The sequence below is a fragment of the Homo sapiens genome, chromosome 17, assembly GCF_000001405.40.
Source record: "Homo sapiens chromosome 17, GRCh38.p14 Primary Assembly".
Lineage (NCBI taxonomy): Eukaryota > Metazoa > Chordata > Mammalia > Primates > Hominidae > Homo > Homo sapiens.
In genome coordinates, this window is record NC_000017.11 from 47,181,494 (window position 1) to 47,204,238 (window position 22,745).

Sequence of the window (22,745 nt, forward strand, 5' to 3'; positions counted from 1 at the left end):
ATAAAAAGTTATGGAATTTCATATATGTTATTCATTTATCATTCTACAGCAATGAATAGATTTCAAACCTTCTGCATAAAGGCGTTCTGCGAGGAAAACCGCATCTCGGTAAGCATAGTGGTTTAGTGCTTGCCATATAGCAGCCTGCAAATGGAGGAAAAAGAACATAAATATACATACATACAGACTTTCAAGGTAACTACTAGCACACAGCCTTACATCAAATACTGAAATTAATATCCCTAATTTAAGTGATAAAACCCCAATGCCCACAGAGCAAACTCCAGAGTGTGCCGGGCAAGGCTCTTCACAGTATGGCTCCTAACATATCTGAATTTCCTCACTCAACTCTCTATGGACTTTTAGGCTTCTGTGCCTTTGTACACCCTTTTCCTCCATTGGGCAATGTGGGCTCCCCTCACCAGTCTCCCCTTATAAACTGCTCGTCCCTAAAGATCCAGCTTAAATAACATCTGCCCCATAAAGCTTTCCTGGCTGATGTCAAGCCATTTCTTTTTTAAGATACCTCTTCTAGTAGAGCACTCATAACATGGTTATTTGTTAACAGGACTGCCAACCCTACTAAACTACAGACTTTTAGCAGCAGTGGTTCTCAACCACTTTATGTGATATACATGACAGAGATATTAAAATGTATGTCATCCTCCCACAAAAACTTCCCTATCTATTACCTTTAATGCCACTCAATTCTCATCCACTCCAGGAAGCATATTGGAATGCAAATGAGTAAAGTTATCATAGGAATAACTTTTAATTTTTTGAATATATGTTTTCTCTTTTAGAATTACAAAACATATAACCTAAAGTATATATGAGATAGAAGGACATTTTAAGTAACAATAACCAAAGACATTTAGGCCCATGTACTCACCACCCAGCTTAAGAAATAAAATATCTCTGAAACTCCCTGTGTGTTCCTTGTTGATACCAAAACCTCTCCCTGCCCCAAAGAGGAAACCACCACACTGAATTTTCTTGACCTTTCTCTTGGTTTTCTTCACAATTTTATACATTTGTACATATCATCTCTAAGCAGTATAACATTTACTTTTTCCTGTTTTTGAACTTTAAATAAATACAATCATATTGTATACATTCTGCTACGATTTGCTTTTGAAATCCAATGTTTTGAAAATTCATTCTTGATGTGTGTAGCTAGAGTTCATTTGTTTTCATTGCTGAATAAATAATATTTCCATTGTATAAACATATCAAAATCCAAAATGTATTTTATCTATTTTACAGCATGTGGACATTTGGGTTATTTCTAGGGTGTTTTTTTGTTTTGTTTTGTTTTTCCAATTATAACAATGCTGCAACAGTCTTAGATTCATCTCCTGGGGTATATATTTAAGAATCTCTCCAGCCTATCACGGTGGTGTGAGCCTTTAGTCCCAGCGACTCAGAAGGCTGAGCTGGGAAGACTGCTTGAGTCCAGGAGTTCAAGGCTATGATCATACCTGTGAATAGCTGCTGGAGTGCAATAGGAGCAAGACTCCCATCAAAAAAACACAAAAAAGAATCTCTCCAAATTAGGATATATATTTAGGAATAAAATTACTGGGTTGTTGAATATGCATATGTTCATCTTTACTAGGTAATGTCAAATCATTTTTAGTAATAAACTACTTTTGAGATATCTCACACCTGATCATGATACAAGCGTTATTTTTTATTTTTAGCACATACACCAGCTTATAATTTGTTGAATGATTTAAAAAGGTTACAACGGAAACCAGTAAAATCTGGTTACTGATCACTAGCTAACATTGTACCAGTACATCTAAATTATATTAAGTGATTAATATGCCTTAGATACAGTAAAGGCTCAACAAATTTTGTTGAACAAACAAGTAAATGTTTAATAATTCTGCAATGAGTATATTAATTATAATTTTAAAAATAAAAGTAGTAAATGACTTAGCCCTTTCTATTTCCTCAAGAAAGAACAGTAATGAACTTAGTTTGGGATCTCCAGAGCCTCTTGTTTAACCTTTGTTTATATAGCTTAAATTTTATAAAGTCTCAAAGATGTCTAATTTTACCATTCCTATCTAGATACAAGGAAAAAGATGAGATTAGGCACCATTATTATACACTCTAATTGCACCAAGTACCTTTCCTTTGTAATACTTCCCACTGCTATAATTCTGTATTAATTTAGGAGAGTATTTGAGTGATGTTTTCCTTACTATATTACAAACTCCACAAGGTAGGGGCTACGTCTGTTTTTGCTCATTATTATACTCCCAGTATCCATTATGTGCTTTTAAAGCAGGTGCTTATATGTTGAATGAATAAGCAAATGATCTTTAATTTCTAGCAGTCTTCCACTGTTGACACTCTTGTACGTTAGTCTTAGCATTAAGTTTCTTTGTATTCCTAGATGTATATCTAATAATAAAGAATCTCTGGGAGTCTCTATTGAAAGAAACTCTGTGATAAATAGAAGAATTATTTTATTATGCAAATAATTACCACCAAATTACTCCTTTATGAAATCTGGGATTTCCTAAGAACCTACATGTTTAATTTTGCTGTAAGTGAAAGAAAATGGTGAGTAGAATGAAGATACCAAAGATTTGATGTTTGGAGACGTGCTCAAATTTGTGTGCCAGCACTTCCAGTAGTGGGACTTTGTGGGAAATACTCAACTTTTCTCAGCCTCAATCTCTTCATCTGATAAATGGAGTTTATTTATTGGAGTTGTTTTGTGGATTAAATGAAATGATCCATTTATAATGCTCCTAGTATACTATCATACATTAAGCACTTGGAAAACCTTTTCCTTGCCAATCTCTTAATATAAAGAAATTCAATAAATATGTAGTTTCTGTTGCATAACATCTCCCCAGCATACCTGCTACAACTGCTTATTTTGCAATATATAAGCCACAAAAGACTCAAATGATTTACCAGCTATTTTACTACTATGGACCACTAGGAAAATTTCACACACATATACTAAAGTCAAAAAGTCCTAGAGCTTTGAAATTTTTTCTGTCCTTTTAAAATTAAAGAAATAAGAGGCAAGGGCGGGGGGAAAAAAGAAGGAAAAAAGGTATCATATTCAAGAGTTGTATCCATTTCTGACTTAAAATCAAGCTTTGCTCAGAACATCATTCCCTTATCACCAGTTCTTAAGAGCATCAGAAAAAACTTGCCATCTCGAGAATCTCACATACTGCTTCCATCCCGCTTTGCTCAATCAATTCTAAGTTCCTGACTAACAGTGTCTCTTGTGCCGGGATTGGGGGGAAGAACAGATTATTCTCTAAGGCACTACAGATTAGTAGCTGATGATGAACAGGGCTAAAATCAGCACCTCTGCCCAACTGATGGTGTGGGCCTTCCCTTAAAAGAACACCCAGTGCATTACCGCTAGAGTTCTACAAATTAAAGCCAGATGAACGAAATGCTGCTAAAAGAAAGTTATGAAGCCAAAAAGAACAACGCTCCTCTCCCTCTCCCCTAAAAAATGTTTAAGAGAAATCTGACTGATTAATGGGTTAGTCCCCAGGTGCACTAATTTAAAAGATAAATAAACCAACAGCTTAAAGTTGCAAAATTCCTTACCAGCTAGCTATTCTTAAATATAAAATATTATTTAAAATATAAACAAACCTCTATAAGTTGTACTTAGACTTAAATGTAATCACTATAAATTTTTCTCTTTTTTTTTGAGACAGAGTCTCACTCTGTCACCCAGGCTGGAGTGCAGTGGCGCGATCTCGGCTCACTGCAAGCTCCACCTCCTGGGTTCACGCCATTCTCCTGCCTCAGCCTCCTGAGTAGCTGGGACTACAGGTGCCTGCCACCATGCCCGGCTAATTTTTTTTGTATTTTTAGTAGAGAAGGAATGGTTTCACCCTGTTGGCCAGGATGGTCTCGATCTCCTGACCTCGTGATCCGCCTGCCTCAGCCCCCCAAAGTGCTGGGATTACAGGCGTGAGGCACCGCGCCCGGCCTGTAATCATTATAAATTTTTTGTTAGAGAAAGCTTATTACAAAAAATTTGTTTACTTGTTTTTGTTAAATTTTTTATACATTTTGTGTTCTTGTTTTTGTCAAAAAAGCTGTCTTTATTTTATTTTATTTGTTGGTCTTGAACTCCTTGGCTCAAGTGATCTGTCTGCCTCAGCCTCTGAAAGTGCTGGGATTACAAGCGTGAGCCACTGTGCCCAGTCAGCTGCCCTTTTTTAAAAACCATAAAATAAATGGATAATAAAGGCTTCAGACAATGTAAGAAGATACAAAGAAAAAAATCACTGTTGAAATTTCATATTATACATTATAATTGAATTTCTAGGATACTGATTTAGTTTAGATGCACGTCAGTGGTTCTTACTCTGGGCAATTTTGCCTTCTTACTCCCAATTAATGCCCCAACATTTAGCAATGTCTAGAGGGTATTTTTGGTTGTCACAAATGGAGGGGTCATCCAGTGGTTAGAAGCCAGGGATGCTACAAAACATTCTACAATGCACAGCTTCCAACAAAGTATTAGCTTGCCCCAAATGTCAATAGTGCTCAGATTAAGCAGCCCTGGTCTACATGATCATGCAGTTGGATTATTCTACTAGTCTGTATGTCTAACTCTTGTCTCTTCCTCCCTTTCCAACAGCACCAGATAAATATTCCCAAAGTGGTGCTTTTATTACATAATTCCTCTGCTCAAAAACTCTTCTGCTCATATAATGGTTATTCATTACCAATGCACATTAAATCTAAATTTCTCATTGAGTAGCCAAAATATGTTACTCTTTGAATCCATGTTAGATGCTGTCCCTGAACATTTTATCCCCAGCCAAGAGTACTCCTTCACCATCTAATGATCTCTAAAACAGTATCATGTATATAGTACCCAATTGCTATATTGCTTATTAAATTAATTTTCGAAAGGCTTATTTACAACTTCATCCAACACTTCTGTGAAGTCTTACCCCTAGGAATAATTGCTAAATCTATATAAAATCTCTTTGCTTCTTTTTTAAAAACCAATTTCACCAGGTGACTTTTATAAATATTCAAAAAGCTCTCACTGAAGTCACTTAGGCTAGTGTGTCTTTCCAAATAGTTACCATTAAAAATAAAAGAACTGACAGAAATTCTGCCTCATATGTGAGACTTTTGTAAGGACTCAAATATAAAGTAATACTCTTCTGAGAGGTAGTAATTTGAGACGGAGTTTTAATTTAGGCATATATGGTATATCGGACTGGCCATTCTACATTAAAACTTTAAAGAAAAAAAAATGCAGAAAACAGTTCTTCATATTTTCTGTGAACTTTTTCCTATGCCTAGTAATACCATCAACTCTGAGGCATTCCAAGAAAGAACAATTTTCCAACTTACTCTCATTGCTTTCCAAATACACGCAATCTGTCATCATAGTTTTTTTTTTAATAAAGACAGTATCTTATATATCTGTCCTATTTTTATTCTCTTCCTAATTCTTTCCCATTTGCAGCACTATCCCTGATCATTGATCTTTATCATTGTAGCCAAAGTTGCTTGTTCTTCTCACTGTTCCAAATCCATTCTTGAATGGCTTCTTATACTATACAACCAAAATTTTCACCTAGTCATATCCTAAAACTTTCTACCACTATCTCAAAAATCTAATGGACAATGCTGCTATGAAAAAGAAGCAAATTTGACATTTAAGCCTTAAAAATATCAAAGTGTATTACTGCTCAGAGTACTTTAAGGACAAACAGGAAACCTGATGGGTACTATCTAGAAACAGGCTACATATTCCTTTTCTTTTCCATGCTTTTATTTTTTATTTATTTATTTATTTTGAGATGGAGTCTCACTCTGTCGCCCAGGCTGGAGTGCAGCGGGACCATGTCGGCTCACTGCAAACTCCATCTCCTGGGTTCAGGCAATTCTCCTGCCTCAGCCTCCCAAGTAGCTGGGATTACAGGCGCCCACCACCACGCCTGGCTAATTTTTTATATTTTTAGTAGAGACAGGGTTTCACTGTGTTGGCCAGGCAGGTCTCGAACTCCTGACCTCAGGTGATCCACCCGCCTCAGCCTCCCAAAGTGCTGGGATTTCAGGTGTAAGCCACCACGCCCGGCCTTCCATGCTTTTATAAAGTCTGAAATTATTATTAAATGGTGGTTATAGTCTATCAATGCAACTAGTTTATCACTTTAGAAGACTTCTGGGGCCAGAGAAGGCAAAAAAAAAAAAATCATTAACTATTAAAACAAAATTATAAGAATATGCAACAGAAATTAAATAACTTGAGTAATCTGCTTATCTATTTAAGTTCATGTTAGGCCTTAAAAAATTATATATATATAATTACCTCATCTACAGCCAGAATAAAAAAAAATCTTAAAAGAAACTATACTGGTAAAAAGAATTTGGATGGAAATAGCTCTAGAAAAACTAATACAACTTACAGACAGGTAAATTTCATAAGATATAATCTTACGTTTTATTAATTCAAACACTAATAGCTGCTATATGTAAACAGCTGGAGAAAAAAACCAAACTAGAAGAAATGAGTATTTCATGCTGTTTAGAAAAATGAAATAAATATGAAAGTAGTGATATATTAAAATATTTACTGTTTGATACCTCAAGCCTTTTAAGGGCAATATGAAGGAATTTCTAAAAATCAGTTTGCTTTATAACTTCAAAATAAAGTCCATGACTCAATGACAGCAGTTGATAGAGGTCAATTCTGATCAAGTTAAAGATCATATAGTGGGATGAAGTCTCCCAGACCTGGTCCATTACCAAGGCACAAAAGATACAGTTTCTCCAGATGTCAGGGGGGAAAATGACTTGGCACCGCATCACACACTTAAAATCCAATAGGGTTCCTTTAATGCAACACAGCACTGTGCGTCAAAGCATACCCTGGTGTAAAGGCAGTGAAATGGACAGAAACACCATTATTTGTGTTTCATTTCCTGAATGCCTTATAAACATGCACAACAAAATGCTCCTGATCCCCATCAGAGAGGATGAAAACAACCCAAATGTGCCCTTTCCACCTCCTCCCCTGGTATTGGTGCTTGCGCCTCAGCACTGAGGCTTGGAGTTGTCTTCTCAAACCATCATTGTCCGGTGGGAAATTCACCGAGAAAGGAAACGTGGGATAGGAAGTCTGTTACCAAAATAGAAATTAGTATTAAAAAGACCGATCCTACGCTCCCTCCACCCTCTCATACAAGACAAAATAAAAAAAACCTCCGTAAACTTGCCCTACCGTCACGAAGATCACACAAGCTCCGATCAAATGTGCTTCTCGATCATCTTTTAGGCAAGAGAGCGCTTGGGGTGCATTTTCGGCCCCTCATCTCCCACCCCCAGTCAAGCCAGGCCCCTGGACTGACAGGAAAGGCTGGCCGGACGTTGGCTCGGACGGGAAAGGCGGTTATTTTCGCCGAAGCCGCTCACGCTAAGGGTGAAGTAATGTAGGGCCAGAGGTAACACGGCTTAGGCTGTGGGCAAGGCCTCCGAACTGACTAAAGATAGGCAGGACACGGCAGCAGGGGAGGCGGGAGAAGCAGCCGGGCCTAGGCCGCACCAGGCCGCGGAGTGGCCCTACGCTGCTGCTTCCCGACCGAGGCTGCCAGCCAAGCCCCAGAGAAGAAGGTTATCATTACCTGGACGGGTTCCTGCAGCACCGTCATCCTCGAGGCTCAGGCCCACTTTCTGCAGTGCCTCAGGCCCCCCCTGTAGCGGCTCCGGCCCGGCCAGCCCCTGCTCATTTAAACTCACCAGCGACCGTTACCGGGGGATGGGGGAGGCCGAGCGATTGCCGAGTGCTTCCGAGCGGGACACGGGAATACCCGAAGTGGAGAAAGCCGAGCGGGAACCAGACGGAAAAGCCCGAAGGGAGTCGGAAATACCCGAGGTTGGTCGACGAGAGAGAAAACCGTTGCCGGAAATTGTCGAAGATTACCGGAAGCTACCGAGTCTGACCCAAAGCGTAGGTTTCTCTTCTCAGCCACGCCTTCAGCCACGCACACCACGCCCAATCGGCCGTCCCAGGGTTGGGCTACGCCAAATCTGCAACCAGCAGGCTGGGCGTGGCGTGACAGCGCGGGCGGGTAGCGTTACGTGGCGGGGCTGCAGTGTGGATTAGCCCCTCAGCCCTTTTGGATTAATTGGTGTGCTGTAGATTATGAAGCAAAGGGTGAAACAGCAGAGTTTGGGGCTGTCTTTAATGAATCAACAAGTATTTGTCTATTGAGTTTAGATCATTCGTCCATTCCAGAAGTATCTACTCACGGCTCTGGGGGAAAGCTAAAGAAATTTGGAAAGATTGCCACTCCCCAAAGACATAGGATAGCTTCTGTCTTCAAGGAGATTAAGGTCTATTTAAGGGAAAAGCAGTGTAACAGAGAACGCTATATTATATGGTGCCTATTATAAGTAATATAAAAATTCAGAGAGGGCAATTGTGATAAGATAAGGAAAGTTCTATGGAAGGAAAAAAAAGTTTAAAATGGAGTTTGAAGGATGGGTAAAATTAGAGGAAAAAGAAGTATAGGAAAGTGAAGGGAGGAAAAATGGGATCAGTCTGCTAAGAAGGCATTAATTGGAAATAGTTACTTAGGTGAAGAGATCATGGAAAAGCTCAATAGGCCATTAGAAATTTTTATTTTTGATAGGTGAGGCATTCCGCTGTGGTGGGAAGAGTAGGGGGTCGGAAATTCAGAGGCCTGGTTTTGAATTTTATCTTTAGCACTAACTAGTCATAGGTCCTTGGCAAATTACCTCTCTGAACTTATGTTCGCTTAGTTTGAAAAAAAAGGATTAAGAGAATTCGATGTATTATAAATGTGGCCGTGTCTAGCATGCAATGTAGACTCTCTCATATTTCCTTTCTGCTCCCCTTCTCCCCCCAAAAAGAGTGAACCAGGGGACTGTTTAAATTTTGTTTTTCAGCAGATGAGGAAACAGTTTTTGAAAGTTACTTTTCTAGTCAGGAGCTCTCTAGGCTAGATGTGAGAATCATGATATATTCCATTGCTTGGAAATTTCCCTTTGGGTGATGTTAGAGGGAGATATTTTTTCTTTCATTTTTAAAAACAAGGCTGACAGAGCTACACTGCATCCTTCTCCACCGCCTTGTCTTGTCACTGTATATATACTTATAGCCCCTAAAGGGCAGGTGCTAAGATGATTTTTGGCTGCCCTGTGCCCAGTTGCTTTAGCGGGATTATGCTGGATGACTTGAGTGGTAACAGACTTTTACACTGGCCTGGAAAGTAGCCATTAGCTATTTAAAGTTTAAGTTAAAATGAAATTAAAAATGAAGTTCTTCAGATGCCCTAGCCACATTCCAAGGATTCAGTAGCCCTGTATGTGGCTAGTGACTGCCATATTGGACAGTCACACAGATATAGAAGAACATCACCAGCACTGGCTTGGCTAGGGCTGAAAGATTCAAGATGGCTTCACTCACATGTCTAGGGTGTCAGTGGTAGCTATTGGCTGGGTCCTTCATTTCTTCTCTGCATGACCTCTCTTTTCACACTGGCCTCTTATGAGTCAGTAGTTTAGCTCCAGCTTCTTGACTTGGTGGTTGACAACAAAGTGCGCAAAAATAGAAGCTGTGAGGTCCCTTAGGCCTAGGCCTGTGAGCATCACTTCTTGTTGGTCAGAGTAAGACTCAGAGCCACCCTGGATTCACCAGGAGGAATAGTCTACTTCTTAATGGGAAGAGTGGCAAAGTAACACCACAAAGGGCGTGTGCCATGGGAGGAGTTTTTGGGTCATCTTTGGAAACAATCTACCACGCTAGATATGAGATGAGAGTATCTAAGATTGGGAATGGAAAGAAAGGGATAAGTAAGAGCTATCACTCTTAAAATGTGACCCTTTCAACTGAACACAGTACTCCAGATTTATTCTGAATAATTCAGAATGCAGTTGGACTATTATTATCTGGACACGTCTATTAAAGTGGACTACAGTTGTATTTACATTTTTTTTTTCCGAGACTGAGTCTTGCTCTGTTGCCCAGAGCTGGAGTGTAATGGCGCAATCTCGGCTGACTGCGTCCTCCGCCTCCGGGGTTCAAGCAATTCTCCTGTCTCAACGTCCCGAGTAGCTGGGATTGCAGGTGCGCACCACCACGCCCGGTTAATTTTTGTATTTTTAGTAGAGACGGGGTTTCACCATGTTGGCCAGGCTGGTCTCAAACTCCTGATCTCATGATCCACCCATCTCGGCCTCCCAAAGTGCTGGGATTACAGGTGTGAGCCACTGTGCCCAGCCTGTATTTACATTTTTTAGCAGTCACATGACACTGTTTGCTCATGCTAAACTTGTGTGGTCATTTACGGACTCAGCTCTTTTTCACACAACATGCTGCCAACCCAAGTCTTGTATGTGTGCAGCAGAGTTTTGTAAACCTAAATATAGGACCTTACCACAGAGGATACATAAAGATGATACTTTGTGAAAATATGGATCTAGAGTCAGCATTTAAAGAGCCTCTGATGCTTGGCACTCTGGCTTATAGGCTTAGAATTTGCCTAAAGCCTTTTTTCTTTTTTTAACCTAAAAAAGAGCATTTCCTGGCTGGGTGAGGTGGCTCACGCCTGTAATCCCAACACTTTGGGAGGCCAATGCAGACGGATCACCTGAGGTCAGGCGTTCCAGACCAGCCTGACCAACATGGAGAAAACCTGTCTCTACTAAAAATACCAAATTAGCTGGGCGTGGTGGCACATGCCTGTAATCCCAGCTACTTGGGAGGCTGAGGCAGGAGAATCGCTTGAACCTGGGAGGTGGAGGTTGCGGTGAGCTGAGATTGCGCCATTGTTCTCCAGCCTGGGCAACAAGAGCAAAACTCCGTCTCAAAAAAAAAAAAAGGCCAGGCGCGTTGGCTCACGCCTGTAATCCCAGCACTTTAGGAGGCCAAGGCGGGCAGATCACAAGGTCAGGAGATCGAGACCATCCTGGCTAACACAGTGAAACCCCATCTCTACTAAAAATACAAAAAATTGGCCGGGCGTGGTGGTGGGCACCTGTGGTCCCCAGCTGCTGGGGAGGCTGAGGCAGGAGAATGGCGTGAATCTGGGAGGCGGAGCTTGCGGTGAGCTGAGATCGGGCCACTGCACTCCAGCCTGGGTGACAGTGCAAGACTGTGTCTCAAAAAAAAAAAAGCATCTCCTTTCTGATTGTTGTTGACCAGGCTAATACATCTGTTGTGGTTTCTACTCATCCACAGCAAAGCCACATTGTTTGAAGTACTTTGATGGGGTATTTTGGAGTGTTTTTACTTCCTTCTCTGCTCCTAATTGACCTACTTAAACTCGCTATTCATCAACCACTTGGGCATCCTGCTGTCATCCGTTATCCAATATGTTTGGCTAGTGAGTGGAGTTGGGTTACAACAGCATTATTCCAAAAATGGAATTGGAAAATTATTTTTTCTCCTAAGCCTGCTTCTTGGTCTATTTCATATTCAGTCAGATTTGGAGGCTGGCATTTAGGGAACTATTCAAAAAGCTAGACGTGATATCAGTAGCAAAATGTAGGTCCCACTGAAACATAGCCCAGAGTAAGTGTACTCTCCTGAAGTCTTTCAGTCCTCCTTGTCTGTACCCTTCATTTTGTCCCTGTTGCGTGCGGTTTTATGGCCTCCTTACCTGACCTTGCACCCCACCACCCCCACCCCACCCTCACCATGTTTACTCTTTGGTCAAATCATCCTCTTCTTTTGGCTTCTCTAATGACACCATCTCCTAGCTTTCCTCCTACTGCTCTGTTTTTGTTTGTTTGTTTGTTTGAGAGAGTCTCGCTCTGTCACCCAGGCTGGAGTGCAATGGCGCTATCTCGGCTCACTGCAGCCTCCGTCTCCTGGGTTCAAGCGATTCTCCTGCCTCAGCCCCCTGAGTAGCTGAATTTACAGGTGTGCGCCACCACACCCAGCTAATTTTTGTATTTTCAGTAGAGACGGAGTTTCGCCATGTTGGCTGGGCTGGTCTCGAACTCTTGACCTCAAGTGATCTGCCTGCCTCAGCCTTCCAAAATGCTGGGATTACAGGCATGAGCCACTGCGCCTGGCCTACTGCTCTGTTTTTTAATCGGTTTCCTTTGCAGCTCCTCTGCCAGCCCCTTTAATATTAAGCATGCTTCAAGGACCTGTTCTAGGCCTTCTTCTCACCCACCCTACACATTCTTCTTAGGCAAAACTATCCTTTCTTTCTTTCTTTCCTTCCTTCCTTCCTTCCTTTCTTTCTTTCTTCCTTTTTCTTTCTCTTTCCTTTCTTTTGAGACAGAGTCTCACTCTGTCACCCAGGCTGGAGTGCAGTGGTGTGATCTCAGCCCGCTGCAACCTCCACCTCCCAGGTTCAAGCGATTCTCCTGCCTCAGCCTCCCGAGTAGCTGGGACCACAGGCACACGCCACCATGCCAGGCTAATTTTTGCATTTTTAGTAGAGATGGGGTTTCGCCATGTTGGCCAGGCTGGTCTCCTGACCTTAGGTGATCCACCCACCTTGGCCTCCCAAAGTGCTGGGATTACAGGCGTAAGCCACCATACCCCGCCCCTATCCATTCTTGTGGCCCCAGTTTCTCATCTACAAATGGTTTGAAAAATTTGTATCTCCAGCCAGACTACTTTTTAGAGCTCCAGGCCCAAATGACTAACTGCCAAGAGGACACCTTTATCTGGATGTCTCATAGGTACTTTGTTCGGAATGGAACCCCTCATTGTCTTAAAATATTTCCTATCCCAGTTTAAGATATCACCATCTTTTCCATTGCCCAAAAGATTAGATAAGGGTTAGTTTAACAAGGTTTGTACAGATTTATTCCCAGCCTCAGCTCTGTCTCTGGTGATAAGAATGGCTTTCTCCTGGTACAAGGAGGGCATCTTTCACATGGAGTTTTATCTACTGGTTTCAGTAAGAAAAAGGAAGGCCAGAGTGCTCTTCTTGCATATGCTGTTTTTCAAGTGTATATTATTCTCAAAATAATCCTTATGCCAAAGTGGCATATATCAGTGTGGCATATTTTGACTCTACAACTCCAATATCTAGTCGCAACGACCTGCCAATTTTACCTCCTAAATATATCTTCATGTTTCTTCCTTCCTGTATCTTATCTACCTCCAAAAATAAGTCTGATCATGTTAGGACTCCTCTCCCTGTCTTCCCCCACCCCCCAAATTCAGGACTTACCTTCAGGTCTAGTAGCTGCCTCTTTATTCAGCCTTATCTCACTCATGTCTCCTTTATAGTCCACCTTCCAATTACATAGAATTTTTTTTTTTTGAGACAGGGTCTCTGTGTTCCACCCAGGTTGGAAGCTTACTGTAGCCTTAACCTCCCAGGCTCAAGTGATCCTCTCACCTTAGCTTCCCAAGTAGCTGGGACTACAGGTGCATGCCACCACGCCTGGCTATTTTTTGTATCCTTTGTAGAGACGGGGTTTTGCCATGTTGCTCAGGCTCTTCTCGAACTCCTGAGCTCAAGTGGTCCACCCGTCTCAGCCTCCCAAAGTGCTGGGATTACAGGCGTGAGCCACGGTGCCCAGCCCCTTCATGGAACTTTTTTTTTTTTTTTTTTTTTTTGAGACAGAGTCTCACTGTTGTCACCCAGGCTGGAGTGCAATGGTGCACTCTTGGCTCACTGCAAACTCTGCCTCCCGGGTTCAAGCAATTCTCCTGCCTCAGGCTCCTAAGTAAGTAGCTGGGATTACAGGTGCATGCCACCACAGTGGGCTAATTTTTTTTTTTTTTTTTGAGACGGGGTTTTGCTCTTGTTGCCCAGGCTGGAGTGCAATGGCATGATCTTGGCTCACCGCAACCTCTGCCTCCCAGGTTCAAGCGATTCTCCTGCCTCAGCCTCCCAAGTAGCTGGGATTACAGGCATAGACCACCATGCCCAGCTAATTTTGTATTTTTAGTAGAGACGGGGTGTCTCCATGTTGGTCAGGCTGGCCTCGAACTCCCGACTTCAGGTGATCTGCCCGCCTTGGCCTCCCAAAGTGTTGGAATTACAGGTGTGAGCCACCGTGCCCAGCCAAGTATTTTTAGTAGAGACTGGGTTTTACCATGTTGGCCAGGCTGGTCTCCAACTCCTGATCTCAGGTGATCCGCCTGCCATGGCCTCCCAAAATCACCCACTCTCTTGCCTCACAGGCTTTGCATGTACTGCACTCTCCCCAGAACCCTCTTAATTCCACTCTTCATCTTAATTCTATTCTTCATCTGGCTAGCTCTGCTTATCCTCCAAATATACTTCTTCCAGGCCTTTTCTGCTCCTCTGGGATAGCTTGGCTCTCCCTGCTGTTACTCTAGTGCTACCAGACTTGTCATTACTCCCATCACTCTTTGCTGTAATTAATTATCTGTTTAATTGTCTACTTCTGGTCTAGTCTATAAGCTCCATGAGGGCAGAAGCCCTGTCTGCCTTGTTCCCTGTGTATTCTCAACACTTAGTACAGTATCTGGCATCTAATGGGAACTTAGTATTATTTGTTTAATGAATGAATAGAATAAACTCACTGTGTTCCTAGTATTATTTTTGTTTGTTGATTGATGTTATAGACTGGTTGCATCTCCTCAAAATTCATATGTTGAAGCTAACCCCTAGTGTGGCTGTATTTGGACATGGGGTCTCTAAGAAAGTGATTAAAGTTAAATGATATCATAAAGATGGGGCCCTGATCCGACAGAATTAGTGTCCTTATAAAAAGATGCACAGGAAAGTTTGATCTCTCTGTGGGCATTCACCAAAGAAGGGTCATAGGAGGACACAGGGAAAAGGCCAACATCTAGGAAGAGAGCCCTCACCAGAATCTGTTTTGCCAGCACTTTGATCATGGACCTCTAGCCTCCAGAACCATGAGAAAATAAATCTCTAATGTTCAAGCCACCCGGTGTGTGGTATGTTGTTATGGCAAGCCCAGGTAGACTTATATAATTGATTATTCTGTTTATGTCTTGTCTCCCTAATGCAAGGGCCAAGTCTTATATTTCTGTATATTGTTCTTTGAAAAACACCACATATGTAGAAAATTCTTAAGAAATATATTGACTGAGTGATTAAAGTGGAAGTCTTTCTACATATTATTCTTTCTTCCTGAAATACATTTCCCTTACTCTTTGACCAGTGAAATTCTATTTATTCTTCAAGCCTCAGCTTCAGTATCACATCCTCAGAATATTCCTAGACCTACCTAATTTAAATTCTTAGCTCCAGCCTGTTATTCTCTCTCATGCCATTTTTGTTCTTTTCTTTCATAGTATGTATGGTAATTTTAATCGTATTTGTTTAATATAAGCTGCATTGAAGGCAGGGACCTTGGTTTGAACATTATGTCCCCATCACCTAGTTCAGTGCCCTGCACAAATATTATAAAATATATAAATATTTTTTGTTGTTGTTGTTTTGCTAAAATATTATAATATTTCGCTCTTGTTTCGTTAAAATATTGTAAATATATAAATATTTTTGAAATATCTGATGATTGAATGACTTGATGACTTAATTTCATCTCACTGATCTAAACATGATGCTTTTTTTTTGACTCCCCCTTTCTGGGCCCAGAGAACATGCTGGTCTTGCACATAAATCCTTAAAGGGTTTTTTTTTTTTTTTTTTTTTTTTGAGACAGAGTCTCGCACTGTCGCCCAGGCTGGAGTGCAGTGGCGCTATCTCGGCTCACTGCAAGCTCCACCTCCCGGGTTCATGTCATTCTCCTGCTTCAGCCTCCCGAGTAGCTGGGACTATAGGCGCCCGCCACCACGCCTGGCTAATTTTTTGTATTTTGAGTAGAGATAGGGTTTCACCGTGTTAGCCAGGATGGTCTCGATCTCCTGACTTCGTGATCTGCCAGCCTTGGCCTCCCAAAGTGCTGAGATTACAGGCATGAGCCACCGCACCCGGCCAAATCCTTAAGGGATTTAAAGTCAAGGCAGTATCTGAAGTATTGAGACTATTCAGAAAATGCATCTTGATTGAGATGAGCTCCGAGATGTGCTAAATGGCGTATGACTAGGGCGCCTAGGGCTGACTCAAAAGCACAGGGAAATAAACTACAGACAGCCCCCAAGTTATGATTTTTTGACTTTATGATGGTGTAGAAGCAATGTGCAGTCAGTAGAAACTGTACTTCAGATACCTATACAACCATTCTGTGTCTCACTTTCAGTACAGTATTCAATACATGAGATTCAGCACTTCATTATAAAATAGGATTTGTGTTAGATAGCTTTGCCCAACTGTAGGCTAAGGTGAGTGTTCTAAGCACGTTTAAGGTAGGCTTTGCTAAACTATGATGTTCAGTAGGTTAGGTGTATTAAATGCATTTTTGACTTGATATTGTCAACTGATGGTGGGGAGCATCTGTAATAAAGGCAGGAGACTATAAGCAAATTAGCTTGTCTGGACTGGAGGCTGTATAAGCTTGGTTGAAATGGTGGTGTTGGGGACAGCTGATAAAAACCTTTGGGTTCCTGGCTGATGACTTTAGTTTTGATAAAATAGACCAAAGGAGCTGTTGATGATGATTGAGCTGGAGAGTGACCTCATGAGACCAGAATTTGAAAAAGATTATGCTAACAGCTGAGGATTATGTGCATTGGAGGAGAGAAAGACTAGGGGCTAGGAATGCAGCAGAGAGGCTGCCAGGGAGTCTGGGCAACTCTGAATATTCACTATTCTAGGATCTTAGATGGTTGAATCTGAAAAAAGATAGAAAATTTAAACAGTTTTGAGTTACTAACTTAAAATGAGAAATATTCTTATCCAATTCCTTGACCTGAAGGCATTCAGATTCTAACCAGAAGACTGCTTACTGAGTACAGACTTAGAACAAAAAGAGTAAATTTAATGATCTTAGTGGCTGTCATCTCTTTTTTTCCTCAGAAGTGACGTATATACCTGACTACTAGATAAAAAATATCTATAGCATCTGGAGTGGATGCCCACCAAATAATAGATTATTTGCTTCTCTCTTTTCTAACTAGGCTCTAAGCAGCCTCATTTTTTCTCTGGGTAAATTGCAGAGCAATGGATTAAACACAGATTGATTATATTTTAGTATTCAGTTTACACCGTAGCTGTCTTGAATAGACTTTGTTTTTGTTACAGATATGTGATTTGGGAGATAGAGGCTGATCTAGGTTTAAACCAGACTGAGTTGGGAGAGCCTCAGATGAGAAATATCCAAAGGTTAATTGAAAACGTGAAGCTTGGCCAGGCGCAGTAGCTCACGCCTGTGATCCCAGCACTTTGGAAGTTCAGGAGGATCACTCGAGGCCAGGAGTTCGAGAACACCCTGGGCAACAAAGAGAGACCCTCATTTCTACAAAAAAAATAAAAAAAACTAGCCAGGCATGGTTGTGTATGCCTCTAGTCTTAGCTACTTGGGAGGCTGAGGTGGGAGGATCTCTTGAGCCTAGAAGTTCGAAGTTGCAGTGAGTTAAAATTATAGCACTGTATGGCCAGGCATGGTGGCTCTCACCTGTAATCCCAGCACTTTGGGAGGCCGAGGCAGGCGGATCACGAGGTTGGGAGATCAACACCATCCTGGCTAACAAGGTGAAACCCCGTCTTTACTAAAAAAAAAAAAAATACAAATTTAGCCGGGCGTGGTGGCGGGCGCCTGTAGTCCCAGCTACTTGGGAGGCTGAGGCAGGAGAATGGTGTGACCCCCAGAAGTGGACCTTGCAATGAGCCAAGATTGTGCCACTGCACTCCAGCCTGGGCAACAGAGCAAGACTCTGTCTCAAAAAAAAAAAAAAATTATACCACTGTATTCCAGCTGGAGAGATAGAGCAAGACTTTGTCTCAAAAAAAAAAAAAACCCCAGAAAAACAAATAAACAAACAAGGAAAGAATTTGGGACTGGAGAGAGAGTTTTCAGGCAGAACTAAAAGCATCTTTTAGTTGCGCACCTTCTTTCAGTTGTACGATCCTCCCGCCTTGGCCTCCCAAAGTACTGGGATTATAGGCATGAGCCACTGTGCCCAGCCTGCAGGTACTTCTACTAAGATGAATAAGAGACCATTCCTGGCCCCAAGGAGCTCACTGTCTGGTGTAGAGGATGCAGACATACAAATACGTAGTTTTAATATAATGATAAATAGTTTCACAAAGATTTTACAAGGCATTACATTAACAAATGTGTACCTGTAATCCCAGCTTCTTGGAGACCCTGTCTCAAAAAAAAAAAAAAAGTACCTGCATATTGTAGGTGCTCAATACATGTTAGTTGTAGTAAAGTCTTTTTTTTTTTTTTTTTTTTGAGACAGGGTCTCTGTCACTCGCGCTGTAAAGCAGTGGCGCCATCTCAGCTCACTGCAACCTCTGCTTCCTGGGTTCAACCGATCCTCCCACCTCAGCCTCTGGAGTAGCTGGGACTACAGGCATGTGCCACCATACCTGGCTAATTTTTGTGGGTTTTTTTTTGTAGAGACAGGGTTTCGCCATGTTACCCAGGCAGGTCTCGAATTCCTGGGCTCAAGCGATCCACCTGCCTTGGCCTCCCAAAGTGCTGGAATTATAGATGTGAGCCACCACGCCTGGCCTCAATAAGTGTTAGTTGAATGAATGAATGAGAGTAATCTGAATGAGGGAGAGGAGAGTTGGTGGCAGAATTTTGGTGTTACAAGCATAGCAGAGAAGGCCCAAGACAAGCACACTAGATCTAGTCACAGGGAAGTCACTGGTGGTGTGCTAGAGAGGAAGTCAGAATTCAAGAAGTAAAAGAGGAAGTCAGTGGAAAGGGAAACTGAGAAGAAAGAATAATCTTTAGCATTAAAAATATATCCCCAATTGCTGAGAAAGGATTTAGGCTCTTTTTGCTTACTGAGAGATACCCATGCTGTGGGTTCCAGGGCCGTCTCTTCTACTGATGTCTCCTTGCTTCCTTGCCCCCTTGGGGGCTAAGCTTCTCCGTCAGAGAACCCTTTTGTCAGTTCTGCCAGCTCCCATGGTTGTCTTAGCATCCTGCATTCTAGTCTCAGGTCGGTCATAACTCAGTGTGACGTTGGGCAAGTCACCCCCTTCTCTCTGGACCTCTGAAGTTCCTTGTAGCTGTTAGCATATCTGGGATGATGCAGTTTGGATGACTGGTGAGGATTCCAACTTGCTCTCTGCTGCTTTGCAACTATAAATCTCTGCCAAACACCAGCTATCCTGCCCTCTGCTTTAGATCCCTAGGTAGACTCTAACCCACCTTAGGCAGGCTCCCTCCCAGTGTCCTTCTCACAGGATTCAGTTCACACATATGTCACTAGACAGCACTGCCTTGACTGCAGTACAGAAATGAGCTTCAACCATTTAAACAATTGAGTGATGAGGCTGAACATATAGCATTCTCCACCTATGCTAAAGCAGTCAAGGAAATGAAGTTTGAGAGGATGATTTAAAGTGTTGGCTGGGCGCTATGGCTCATTCCTGTAATCCCAGCACTTTGGGAGGCCAAGGCAGGTGGATCACTTGAGGTCAGGAGTTTGAGACCATCCTGGCCAACATGGTGAAACCCTGTCTCTACTAAAAATACAAAAATTAGCTGGGCATGGTGGCGGGCACCTGTAATCCCAGCTACTGAGGAGGCTGAGGCAGAAGAATCGCTTGAACTAGGGAGGCAGAGGTTGCAGTAAGAGATCGAGCCACTGCACTCCAGCCTGGGTGACAGAGTGAGACTCCGTCTCAAAAAATAAATAAGTAAAAAATAAAGTGTTGTGATAGCTAGTTTTACTGTGGTCCTTGAACTTTGATTTTAGACACCTTTCCCCTCCTTTTCTGCTTTCATTTTTGGTGTTCTGGGCCTTATGAATTATTGAGCCTTCAGGTGATTCATTGCTTTTTTTTTCCTCCCTCCTTGGTGGGAAGGATTCTTATATACAGAGGATTGGGTTAATCATTCTCCTGATTTATGGCCTTCTTTCTTCAGTGGTCCATGCAACGCCTTTCTTGTTTAATTACTTATTTCTTTTCTTTTTTTTTTTTCTTTTTTGAGGCGGAGTTTTGCTCTTGTTGCCCAGGCTGCAGTGCAATGGCACGATCTGCTCACTGCAACCTCCGCCTCTCCCAGGTTCAAGTGATTCTCATGCCTCAGTCTCCCAAGTAGCTGAGATTACAGGCATGAGCCACAGCACCTGGCTAATTTTGTATTTTTAGTAGAGACGAGGTTTCTCCATGTTGGTCAGGCTGGTCTCAAACTCCTGACCTCAGGTGATCCGCCCGCCTCGGCCTCCCAAAGTGCCAGGATTATAGGCGTGAGCCACTGCACCTGGCCGGATTACTTATTTATTTTCTTTTATCTCATTGACCCAGCCATCCAAACCACACCCACTCTAGGCAATTATTGAATACTTTTAATGTGTATTTTTTTGTTTGTATGTGTTCTTGGATAATGGGTAATGCTTCTAGTATGTGTGTATTATTAAAAATTTTAATAATATTTAGCTCAATACACCCAAAATGTTATCATTTCAACATGTAATCAATATGAGATATGTTACATTCTTCTTTGTCTTCTTTTTTGAGATGGAGTCTCATTCTGTCGCCCAGGCTGGAGTGCAGTGGCTCGATCTCGGCTCACTGCAATCTCCACCTCCGGCATTCAAGTGATTCTCCTGCCTCAGCCTCCCGAGTAGCTGGGATTACAGGCACGTGCCACCACGCCCAACTAATTTTTGTATTTTTAGTAGAGAAGGGGTTTCACCATGTTGGCCAGGCTGGTCTCAAACTCCTGACCTGAAGTGATCCACCTGCCTTGGCCTCCCAAAGTGTTGGGATTACAGGCATGAGCCACTGTGCCAGGCCCACATTCTTTTTTTGTACTTCAAAATCCAGTATGTATTTTACTGTTATAGCATATCTCAATTTGGATGGTAAATTTTCATTATAAACACTTAATCTGTATTTAGATTTCATAAAATGCACAGTCGAAAAAGTAGATTCATATACCTAAGTTGTCCCAAGCATACTTAAAAGTTTTCTAATAATCAAATATCAAAAAAGTATTTTTCTTTAATGTTTACATGCAAACTGACAAAACTACTTCATATTAGTCATATTAGTCATATTTATTTTAGCAGAATTGACTTGACTTTGAAGCAAAAACATATCAGTTTTAAAACTACATCTGTCCAAATTAAGTAAATTCACTAACTCTTCTGTCAACTCAGTATCATTAACACGAAATTCAAAGAGGTATTGTATAAATTGAAAAAGCAACTCTAAATTTATTAATATCAACAAAAGCAACTCTAAATTTATTAATATCAACAAAGCATTATTTAAACTTTTCTTGTTTTTGTAGCCAATTTACATAATACTGTTTATTACAATTAGAATCTTCTGCATACTTACATTGAAATAATGTATATTGATTTGTATTGTGAAAGGTTTCAATTTGAGCATAAATTCCTTCACCTATCTAGATAAGTCAGAGATGTTTTCTTTCCTTGAAGCTTAAATTTATTTATTTATTTATTTATTTACTTATAGACAGAGTCTCATTCTGTTGCCCAGGCTGGAGTGCAGTGGTACAATCTCGGCTCACTGCAGCCCTGCTTCCCTAGTTCAAGCAATTCTCTTGTCTCAGCCTCCTGAGTATCTGGAATTACAGGCATGCACTGCCATGCCCAGCTGATTTTTGTATTTTTAGTAGAGACAGGGTTTCACCATGTTGGCCAGGCTGGTCTTGAACTCCTGACCTCAAGTGATCTGCCTGCCTCAGCCTCCCAAAGTGCTGGGAATACTGGGCTAAAACATTTCGACTTCTATCTTTCATATCCCTTTTTTTAAATTGTCAATTAAATGTAAACGTACTATCCTCCATATCTCTTAGCTTTTCTTTTATGTTTTCTATTTCTTTGCCCTCTTTTTTCTTCTGGGAGATAGTCTTTCTTGTTTTTCAATTCCCTAATTTGTTTCCCAGCTATATCTATTCTGCCACTTTTCAAATCTATTATGTGCTCTATTTTGGTGATTACTTTTTCATACATAAGATATCTGCTTGTTTTTTAAAAATATTTTTTCTTATTTCATCTATTATACTTTTTATAGTTGATATTCTGTTTGTTCTTTACATTTTCTTGTCCTGGTGTCATATTAGTAATATTTTCGTTTATCTCTTTTAGCATGATTTTTGGGCTACTTTTAAAATCTTGGTCCATCTGTTGTCATATTTCCACTTAAGTTACACTGTGTAATCAAGTAAGTTGTATCCTTTCGGATGAGTTGTGCTATTCAGGTGTCTTGTTATTTTGTCCTTGGCCATACAGGTTGTTCTGTCCAACAATGCATACTAGTGCCATTGAGCTTAGAGGTTGAAGGCTGGGGGTGAATGAGCCCTAAAACCGAGAATGCTTGGCTCCCAAACTCCCAAGTGTGTCATGCTCAGACTCATAAAATAACTCTCCATGTCAGGGCTTCACCCTTTGCCCTCCCATCAGGGAAAAGCAGCCTTAGGAGTACAGGCATGAGCCACCGTGTCTGTGGCCAAAACACTTCTTAGAGTATAGTTCACATGCCCTGGAAATTTAGAGGGCTAAGGAGGGGGAACATTTGTCTAAAGTTGGGTTGCCCCCTTACCTGTTTTGATCACAAGCACAGTGCATCTCCAGTGCTTTGCTGTTACTCTTACCAACACCCGGACCACAGTTTGAGTCATGGCGAGTGAGGGAGTAGCACCGTTTGTCATAAGACAGTGGTGGAGGAAAAGGGAGATCAGAACCCTGAGAGCTCCTTTTCTTTTTTTAATCATTCCAC

At 41.5% G+C, this 22,745-nt stretch overlaps 2 protein-coding genes across 19 annotated transcripts in view, besides 5 other annotated features; one reads left to right on the forward strand and one right to left on the reverse strand.

Moving 5' to 3' along the window:
• The window catches only part of CDC27 (cell division cycle 27), a 71,593-nt gene extending 63,791 nt beyond the window's left edge, over window positions 1-7,802 (reverse strand). For 17 of the 18 annotated variants that reach the window (NR_148340.2, XM_017025485.3, NM_001353050.2 and 14 more), the window contains exons 1-2: window positions 7,653-7,802; window positions 69-144 (exon numbers count right to left, since the gene is read on the reverse strand). Coding sequence is in view for 16 of the 18 variants with exons in the window: in NM_001353047.2 (NP_001339976.1) it covers window positions 69-144; window positions 7,653-7,679 (103 nt within the window). In the remaining 2 variants the exon portion in view is untranslated. Of the gene's footprint in view, window positions 1-68; window positions 145-7,252; window positions 7,390-7,652 lie in introns of those variants that run through there. The other variant, XM_011525549.3, reaches the window with a different exon arrangement.
• Window positions 7,327-7,376: a silencer, noted in NCBI's record as "silent region_8622". NCBI's record gives its function as "represses an Ori minimal core promoter by ATAC-STARR-seq in GM12878 lymphoblastoid cells {active_cell/tissue: GM12878}" and the evidence as "EXISTENCE:reporter gene assay evidence [ECO:0000049][PMID:35858748]".
• Window positions 7,410-8,006: an enhancer, noted in NCBI's record as "H3K27ac hESC enhancer chr17:45266269-45266865 (GRCh37/hg19 assembly coordinates)". NCBI's record gives its function as "activates a minimal SCP1, AML or CMV promoter by ChIP-STARR-seq in primed H9 embryonic stem cells {active_cell/tissue: H9 hESC(primed)}" and the evidence as "EXISTENCE:reporter gene assay evidence [ECO:0000049][PMID:30033119]".
• Window positions 7,537-7,726: an enhancer, noted in NCBI's record as "active region_12299". NCBI's record gives its function as "activates an Ori minimal core promoter by ATAC-STARR-seq in GM12878 lymphoblastoid cells {active_cell/tissue: GM12878}" and the evidence as "EXISTENCE:reporter gene assay evidence [ECO:0000049][PMID:35858748]".
• MYL4 (myosin light chain 4) overlaps window positions 7,940-22,745 on the forward strand; it is a 38,218-nt gene continuing 23,412 nt past the window's right edge. The window contains exon 1 of the mRNA XM_047436131.1: window positions 7,940-7,978. The gene's annotated coding sequence lies outside the window, so the exon portion shown is untranslated. The remainder of the gene's footprint in view (window positions 7,979-22,745) is intronic.
• Window positions 16,277-16,700: a transcriptional cis regulatory region, noted in NCBI's record as "candidate enhancer chr17.3215 targeted for multiplex CRISPR interference". NCBI's record gives its function as "positively regulates MYL4 gene expression in K562 cells {active_cell/tissue: K562}" and the evidence as "EXISTENCE:mutant phenotype evidence [ECO:0000015][PMID:30612741]".
• Window positions 18,918-18,967: an enhancer, noted in NCBI's record as "active region_12300". NCBI's record gives its function as "activates an Ori minimal core promoter by ATAC-STARR-seq in GM12878 lymphoblastoid cells {active_cell/tissue: GM12878}" and the evidence as "EXISTENCE:reporter gene assay evidence [ECO:0000049][PMID:35858748]".